Raw genomic sequence first — 9,318 nt, 5'->3', positions numbered from 1 at the left:
CATCATGAGTTCCATGTTAGCTGCTAGGGATATAAAGATGAATAGAATGAATAACCCTGCTTCTTTAAGTAGAGAAACACCAACAGAAAGAAGTTTGAAATTAGATGGAGCAGACTCTGCTGTTTGTCTGCCCAGGTTGTCTTCACCTTTTTTGCTTACATAACAGAAGCCATATTTTGTTCAGTTGTCCTCCCCAAGAGGATATCGTCTTGGAGGTGGAGCTGGAATAGGCTAATCTAATCATGATAATCCCACTCCTTTTTCTATAATAGGTGGGAAAATCAGAATGCAGCCAATCAGTGTGTGCCTCATATGGCTTTGCTGTGTCCCCACCCAAATCTCATCTTGAATTGTAGCTCCCATAATTCCCACGTGTTGTGGGAGGGACCTGGTGGGATGTAATTGAATCATGGGGTGGGTCTTTCCTGTGCTGTTCTCATGATAGTGAATAAGGTTCAAGAGATCTGATGGTTTTATAAAGGGCAGTTCCCCTACACATGCTCTCTCTTGCCTGCCACCATGTAAGACGTGACTTTGCTCCTCCTTTGCCTTCCACCATGATTGTGAGGCCTCCCCAGTCATTTGGAACTATGAGTCCATTAAACCTTTTCCTTTATAAATTAGCCAGTCTCAGGTAAGTCTTTATTAGCAGCATGAGAACGGACTAATACAGTGCCATTCTCCTGGAAGCTGTTATTGTACTGGGATTGGACATATGATTATTTCTGGAGACAATTCAAGTGAAGGGAAGAGCTAAAATCCCACAATTGATAGTCTGTTTTTCTCTTTTCCTCTTTCCTGTTAGACATGAACAAAAAAGAATGTCACCCCAATTTTACCTGCAGTCACTTGTGACGTTACATGAAACAGCTTGAGCATAACACTTACACAGAAAAGAGAGAAGGGCCGAGAGAATCACAAAAGATCCCAGCCCAGAACATCCAATCCCAGGAACCTGCCCTACCTCAGATCAGTGCTGTCCAATCAAAATAGAATGTGAGCCATATACATAATCTTAAATTTTCTAGTGGCAATTACTGAAAGAGTAAAAAGAAACAGATGTCATTGTAATCCATGCTGTCTGCATGAAATATTCAAATATCAAATACTGATGTAACAACCTCAGAAAAGAAGAACAAAGGTAGAGGATTCTTACTTGGTTACTTGGTTTCAAAAGTTACTACAAAGCTACAGCAATCAAGAGTGCAGTACTGGAAACAACCTAAGTGTCGTTTAATGGATGACTGGATGATGATTTGTGGCATATATAGGCAACAGAATATTATTCAGCCATAAAAAGGAGATCCTGCCATTTTCAAGAACATGGATGAAACTGGAAGACATTATGTTAAGTGAAATAAGCCAGATACAGAAAGAAAAATATTGTATCATCTCTCACATATGTGGAATCTTTTTAAAAAAAGTCAAATACATAGAAACAGAGAGTAACACAGTGGTTACCAGAGGCAGGATTTGAGGGAAAGAATGAGGAGACACAAGTCAAAGGGCACACAGTTGCAGTTATGAATATAAGTCTAGGGATCTAATGCACACCATGAGTACTACAGTTAATAATTTTGTATTATATATACTGAGAATTTGCTAAGAGAGACAATTTTAGGTGCTCTTACCATAAAAAAGAAAGTTAACTATGTGAGATGATGGATATGTTAATTGGCTTGATTGTAGTAATCTTTTCTTGACTATAGTAATCATTTTACTCTGTATATGTATATCAAAACATCATACTGTACACCTTAAATATATACAATTTGAAAATAAAAGCTTGGCACAGTGGTGCACACTTGTAGTCTCAACCACTTAGGAGGCTGAGGTGGGAGAGTTGCTTGAATCCAGGAGTTTGATTCCAGCCTGGGCAATATAGTAAGATCCAATCTCAAAAAAAAAGTGTGATGGTGGCATAGGAACAGACATGCATCAGTGGAATAGAATCCAGAGACTGGAAATAAACCCATACAGTTATGGTCAATTGATTTTTGACATTGCCAAGAAAATTCAATGGGGAAAGAATAATCTTTTCAACAAATGGTGCTGGAACAACTGCATAGCCACATGCAAAAAGTGAGGTTGGACCCCCAACTGATATGGTTTGGATGCTTGTCCCCTCCAAATCTCATGTTGAAATGTAATCCCCAGTGTCGGAGGTAGAGCTGGTGGGAGGTGTTGGATCTTGGGGGTGGATCCCTCATGAATGGCTTGGTGCCATCCTCATGGTAATGAGTGAGTTCTTGCTCTGAGTTCACAGGAGATCTGGCTGTTTAAGAGTATGGTACTATCCTCCAACAAACTCCTTCTCTTACCCTGTGACACACCTGCTCCCTCTTCACCTTCCACCATGAGTGGAAGCTTTCTGAGCTCCTCACCAGAAGCAGATGCTGGTGCCATGTTTCCTATACAGCCTGCAGAACCATGAGCCAAATAAACCTCTTTTCTTGATAAATTACCCAGCCTCAGGTATTCCTTTATAGTAATGCAAAATGGAACAACACACCTACTTCTCACACTGTACATAAAATTTAACTCAATTGGGACCAGCCTGACAAACACAGAGAAACCTCGTCTCTACTAAAAATACAAAATTAGCCGGGCATGGCGGCGCATGCCTGTAATCCCAGCTGCTCGGGAGGCTGAGGCAGGAGAATTGCTTGAACCCAGGAGGCAGAGGCTGCAGTGAGCCAAGATCACGCCATTGTACTCCACACTCCAGCCTGGGCAACAAAAGCAAAACTTCATCTCAAAAAAAAAAAAAAAAAAAATTAACTCAAAATACTTAAATGTAAGAGATAAAACCATAGAACTTGTAGAAGAAAACAGAGGAGTAAATCTCTATAGCATTTGGTAGGCAATGGTGTCTTAGATGTGATAACAAAAGCAAAAACAACTAAAGAAAAAAACAAATAACTCGAACTTCATCAAAATTAAAAACTCTTGGCTGGGAGCAGTGGCTCATGCCTGTAATCCCAGCAGTTTTGAAGGCTGAGGCAGGTGGATTGCTTGAGCTCAGGAGTTCAAGCCTGGGCAACATGGCGAAACCCAATCTTCACAAAAAATACAAAAATTAGCCAGGCATGGTGGTGGGTGCCTGTAGTCCCAGCTACTCGGGAGGCTGAGATGGGAGGATCACTTGAGCCTGGGAGGCAGAAGTTGAAGTGGGCCAAGATTGCACCACTGCACTTCAGCCTGGGCAACAGAGCAAGACCCTAGTCCAAAAAAAAAATTAAAACTCCTGTGCATCAAAGGACATTATTAAGAAAGTACAAAGCAACCCAGACAATGGGAGAAAATATTTATAAATCATATATCTGATAAGGGTCCGATCTCCAGAATATATAAAGAACTGTTACAAATCAACAATAAAAAGAATAATAGCCCCATTTTTAAAGGGGCCAAGGATTTGTATAGACATTTCTCCAAAGAAGATATACAAATGACTAATAAACCCATGAAAAGATGTTCAATTTCATTTGTCTTTAGGGATATGCAAATCAAAACCACTATAAGATACTACTTCACACCACTGACATGGCTATCACCAAAAAGGCAGACAATAGCAAATGTTGACAACGATGTGGGAAATTGGAACCTTCATTCATTGCTGATGGGAATGTAAAATAATGCAGCTGCTTTGGAAAATAGTCTGGCAGGTCCTCAAAAAGTTAAACATAAGAGTTCCTGTGTGACCCAGCAATTCTACTTCTAGATAAATATCCAAGAAAATCGAAAACATATGTTCACACAAAAATTTGCACACAGAGATTCAATACAGCATCATTTCTAATAGCCCAAAAATGCAAATTATTTAGTTGTAAAACAGAATGAAGCACCAATAGTCAGTAAGAATGAACCTTGAAAACATTATACTAGTGAAAGAAGCCAGACACAAAAGCCACATATTGTATGATTGCACGTATACAAATTAGCCAAAATACCAAATCAAATCCACAGAGACAGAAAATAGATGTGTGGTTGCCAGGGCTGAGGACAGAAAGAAATGACTGCAAATGGGGTGATGCACGTTTTCTGCAATTCTTTTGGGGTGATGAAAATTTTCTGCAATTTGGTGATTGCTGTCCAACTTCCTGCATATGCTAAGAATCACTGGATTGTGTAGTTTAATGGAGTGATTTTATGGTATGCCAACTCTACCTTCATTTTTAAAATTGCAAAGATAATCAAATCTCTATCACTGAATTACATCCTTTGAGCATGTGGTGCAATAAACTAAGCTGTAAGTACACTTTGAATACATAGGCTGAGAAGGAAAGTACCACAGATGACTGAAGGGAAAACTAAGTGAACACCTTTTTTTTTTTTTTGGATGCAGGGGTAATTTTTCTGATTTGTGTCAAAATGGCAAACCAGTGCAGGTTGCAGTTTCCTTGCCCCCAAAATCAACCTTGGAGAAATGATTTTTATTTTATATTTTATTTTATTTTATTTTATTTTATTTTATTTTGTGAGATGGAGTTTCACTCTTGTTGCCCAGGCTGGAGTGCAATGGCATGATCTGAGCTCACCACAACCTCCTCCTCCCAAGTTCAAGCGATTCTCCTGCCTCAGCCTCCTGTGAGAAACGATTTCTTAAAAAACAGAGAGTATGGTTTCCACAAACAAACGAAAACAGGAACTGAAGTTAGACATCCTAACTGAAGCTGCCCAGGAGGGGCTGTGGGATGTTGGTGATTCCAGCCGGGGCAGAAGCAGCTGGCGGTGGCATGAAGAGCTCAGACTGGGGGAAAGATCTTAAGTCCTGCTCTTGCTTCTTCCCCCAAGTGACCCTGGCACCATTATTAGCTCCCTCTTGACTGCAGAAATCCCAGGTCACTGGTGTCTGAGGGCAGCACAAACCTCCACTGGGCTGAGGACTTGATGAAATAGATGTGGGCCAACTGGCTGCTTTCTGGTCATCTCAACAATACCCTCTGCCTCCAGATTCCCAGGGTTCGTGGATCTCAGTCCAGACAAACTGCCTCCTCTTCATCCTGCTTCTCACTGAGAGTGTACAATTGTAAGCATACATGCTGCTAACTCTACGGCTCCAACATTTATCAAGCAATGAGTAATGAGTTTTAAAACATAGATGAATCAAGAGGTATCATTAGAGATGTCAACAAACCTTCATAGAAACTCATAGGACAAGGAGATCAAAAATACAGATAAAAGCTGGGCATGGTGGTGCCCACCTCTAGTCCCAGCTACTCTAGAGACTGAGGCAGGAGGATCATTTGAGTCCAGGAGCTTGAGTCCAGCCTGGGCAACACAGCAAGACCCATAGTCTCTTAAAAAGAAAAACAAAAACTTCTCTTTGGGAAAAAAACACAGATAGCAAAGATCTAAAAAATATAATTAATAAATTCAAGCTATATAAATATACATATATAAACATATGTACACATGCATATGTTTATATAGAATACATATTACTTATATTAATATATGTTTGTATAATATGTATGTATACAGTTGTGAGAGGGAGAAGAAACTCTGTATATTAAAGAATAGAATATACCTTTTTTTTTTTTTTTCTGAGACAGAGTCTCACACTGTTGCCCAGGCTGAAGTGCAGTGGTGTGATCTCAGCTCACTGCAACCTCCGCCTCCTAGGCTCAAGCCATCCTCCCACCTCAGCCTTCTGAGTAGCTGGGACCACAGGCACATGCCACCAAGCCTGGCTAATTTTTTTATGAATACTTTTTTTTTTTTTGAGACGGAGTCTCGCTCTGTCGCCCAGGCCGGACTGCGGACTGCAGTGGCGCAATCTCGGCTCACTGCAAGCTCCGCTTCCCGGGTTCACGCCATTCTCCTGCCTCAGCCTCCCGAGTAGCTGGGACTACAGGCGCCCGCCACCGCGCCCGGCTAATTTTTTATATTTTTAGTAGAGACGGGGTTTCACCTTGTTAGCCAGGATGGTCTCGATCTCCTGACTTCATGATCTACCCGCCTCGGCCTCCCAAAGTGCTGGGATTACAGGCGTGAGCCACCGCGCCCGGCCTTATGAATACTTTTTGTAGAGATGGGATTTTGCTGTTACCCAGGCTGGTCTTGAACTCCCGAGCTCAAGCCATCCTCCTGCCTTGGCCTCCTGAAGTGCTGGGATTACAGGCATGAACCACTGTGCCTGGCCAGAATATATCATCTTTTTCTGCACATTTTTGAGTACATATGGAAAAAATATTAATAAAAATAGACCATAAATTAGGCCATAAAAGAAACCTCAATAAATTCCAAGGGAACAGGATCATACATAACATATTGACCAGGTTTTTCAGCTATAATGCAATAAAATTAGGATTTAATAACAAAAGATGACCACAGCAATACCATATGTCTGGAAAACTAAATAACTTTAAGAAACAACTTGGCTGGGCGCGATGGCTCATTCCTGTAATCTCAGCACTTTGGGAGGCCGAGGGGGGGTGGATCACCTGAGGTCGGGAGTTCGAGACCAGCCTGACCAACATGGAGAAACTCCGTCTCTACTAAAAATACAAAAGGAGCCGGGCATGGTGGCACATGCCTGTAATCCCAGCTACTTGGGAGGCTGAGGCAGGAGAATCGCTTGAACCCAGGAGGCGGAGGTTGCAGTGAGCCAAGATCGTGCCATTGCACTCCAGCCTGGGTGACAGAGCGAGACTCCATCTCAAAAAAGAAAAAAAAAAAAAAGAAGAAAGAAACAACTCATAGATTGTAGAGGAAACAAAAGGGAAACTAAAACATTCTCAACACTGAATGATAATAAAAATATTTCTTCCTTGCTCTGATAATACAATCAGAACGACTTCTATCAAGACTGGTGCTGTGTGTGTTGAGTTTCACAGCCAACCTGAGCCTCCTACTCAAGGGATGACACTGCATGATTTTAGCACTGAAGCTATAAGAGGTTCAGATTTTTAAGATCAAATTGTGATGCACCTGGTCTAATCATAAAGAGTTTGATTTCTTCTTCCTTACAAATCAGTAATTTTCAGGCTGGGTGCAGTGGCTCACGCCTGTAATCCCAGCACTTTGGGAGGCTAAGGCAGGCGGATCACCTGAGGTCAGGAGTTTGAGACCAGCCTGGCCAACATGATGAAACCCTGTCTCTACTAAAAATACAAAAATTAGCCGGGTGTGGTGGTGGGCACCTGTAGTCCCAGCTACCTGGGAGGCTGAGGCAGGAGAATCGCTTGAACCCAGGAGGCGGAGGTTGCAGTGAGCTGAGGTCACACCACTGCACTCTAGCCTGGGCGACAAAGCGAGACACTGTCTCACAAAAAAAAAAAAAAAAAAAAAAAGGCCGGGCGTGGTGGCTCATGCCTGTAATCCCAGCACTTTGGGAGGCTGAGGCGGGCGGATCACAAGGTCAGAAGATCGAGACCATCCTGGCTAACACAGTGAAACCCCCTCTCCACTAAAAAGTACAAAAAAAAAAAATCAGGAATTTTCTATACTCCATGAAGAAGTAACTCAATGAAGTATTATTGGAAATAATCTTAGTAACACATTCAAATGCAACACAACAAAAAGGAATGCTTACCTGACAATAGCAGCCAAAGTGGAGAGAGGAATTCATAGTTGACTACCTCCCAAATGGACACAGAATCTTCCAGCTTCAAATGGACTTGCTGGTTGGGTGAGCCTGGGAAGCAGCCTGGGAAGGAGACTTCCCTGAGAGATCGGTCTGTGATTTCTAGTCCTTGTTCTAGCTGCATCTTCAGAGCTGCCTGGGAGAGCCACCAAATGCTTGCTGCCATTCTCAATGTCACAAATTATGAATTAGGAACTTTTAAGTTAGTATATGAAGTGGACAAGTGTTGTTTTTACCTATGAGGCATTATGTCCCACTTTTTTTTTTTTTTTTCAGATGGAGTCTTGCTCGTTGCCCAGGCTGGAGCGCAGTAGCACGATCTCGGCTCACTGCAACCTCCACCTCCCGAGTTCAAGCCATTCTCCTGCCTCAACCTCCCGAGTAGCTGGGATTACAGGCGCACATCACCACACCTGGCTAATTTTTGTATTTTTAGTAGAGACAGGGTTTCACCATGTTGGCCAGGCTGGTCTCAAACTCCTGACCTCAGGTGATCCGCCCGCCTCGGCCTCCCAAAGTGAGAGGATTACAGGCGTGAGCCACCACACCCAGACAGGCCCCACTTTTTTTGACAGCAGCATCCTACATTTTTCTTGGGAAATTACCCCTCCCTGCTTCCAGGCTGTGTGGTCCATGTAGACGCCCTCCCGTGCTTGAGGGATGGCTACCTGTCCAATGAGCTCAGCATTTCTAGGGCATGGCGATGGCTTTACATCTGGGAAGACGGATCAGTGATTCATCTGCCCTGTGGGAGATTTTTGCAGGGTTGTTTTTTGTTGTTGTTGTTCTTGTTTTGAGACGGAGTTTCGCTCTTGTTGCACAGGCTGGAGGGCAATGGTGCGACCTCGGCTCACTGCAACCTCCACCTCCCAGGTTCAAGCGATTCTCCTGCCTCAGCCTCCCAAGTAGCTGGGATTACAAGGCATGTGCCACCACGCCCGGCTAATTATTTTTTGTATTTTTAGTAGAGACAGGGTTTCTCCATATTGATCGGGCTGGTCTTGAACTCCCTACCTCAGGTGATCTGCCCACCTTGGCCTCCCAAAGTACTGGGATTACAGGCATGAGCCACCACACCCGGCCACAGGGTTTTCTGTGAAAGGAACACTCTCTGTCGTTTTCAAAGCATAGGCAGTAAGGCACGTGAGTCTGGAGCAGCTTGGGGTCATCTTTGCCATCACTGGAACAGAGGCCTAGAATAAAGGCAACACAGAAAACAAAAACAAAAACAGGCAGTCAAGAGATGAAGAGGGACCGTTTCTTGATGACATCGTGCCTGAAGTTAGATGTATCCCTGAACTTTTTTATTACACAAGTCAATGAATTCCTTTTTTAAAAATTAAGCTAATTTGAGGTTTATCACTTGCAACAGAAAGCAGACTGACCAATATATCAACTAGTAAGAAATACAAGACAAAACCAACTGGATTTGGAACCAGATTTTGGTTCAACCTGTCCATCATCAACGAAAGATGTAGGCCTTCTTGATTATTAAAAAGTCAAGAAACAACAGATGCTGCCGAGGCTGTGGAGAAATAGGAATGCTTTTACACTGTTGGTGGGAGTGTAAATTAGTTCAACCATTGTGGAAGACAGTGTGGCGATTCCTCAAGGATCTACAAACAGAAATACCATTTGACCCAGCAATCCCATTACTGGGTATATACCCAAAGGATTATAAATCATTCTACTATAAAGACACATGCCCACATATCTTTATTGCAGCACTA

General features: G+C 42.6%; 1 long non-coding RNA gene across 1 annotated transcript; it reads right to left on the bottom strand.

Annotated features, from left to right (window-relative positions):
• Nucleotides 1-4,535: 4,535 nt before the first annotated feature.
• On the bottom strand, nt 4,536-9,060 carry LOC105378612 (uncharacterized). The gene is made up of 3 exons (XR_946968.2): nt 8,603-9,060; nt 7,538-7,724; nt 4,536-5,013 (listed from the first exon to the last, which is right to left on the bottom strand). It is a non-coding gene; the product is annotated as an uncharacterized LOC105378612 (long non-coding RNA).
• Nucleotides 9,061-9,318: the final 258 nt, after the last annotated feature.

Source organism: Homo sapiens, chromosome 1 (assembly GCF_000001405.40).
Source record: "Homo sapiens chromosome 1, GRCh38.p14 Primary Assembly".
Taxonomy (NCBI): Eukaryota; Metazoa; Chordata; class Mammalia; order Primates; family Hominidae; genus Homo; species Homo sapiens.
Note: the sequence above shows the minus strand (reverse complement) of the source record. Positions and strands in the feature narration are given on the sequence as shown.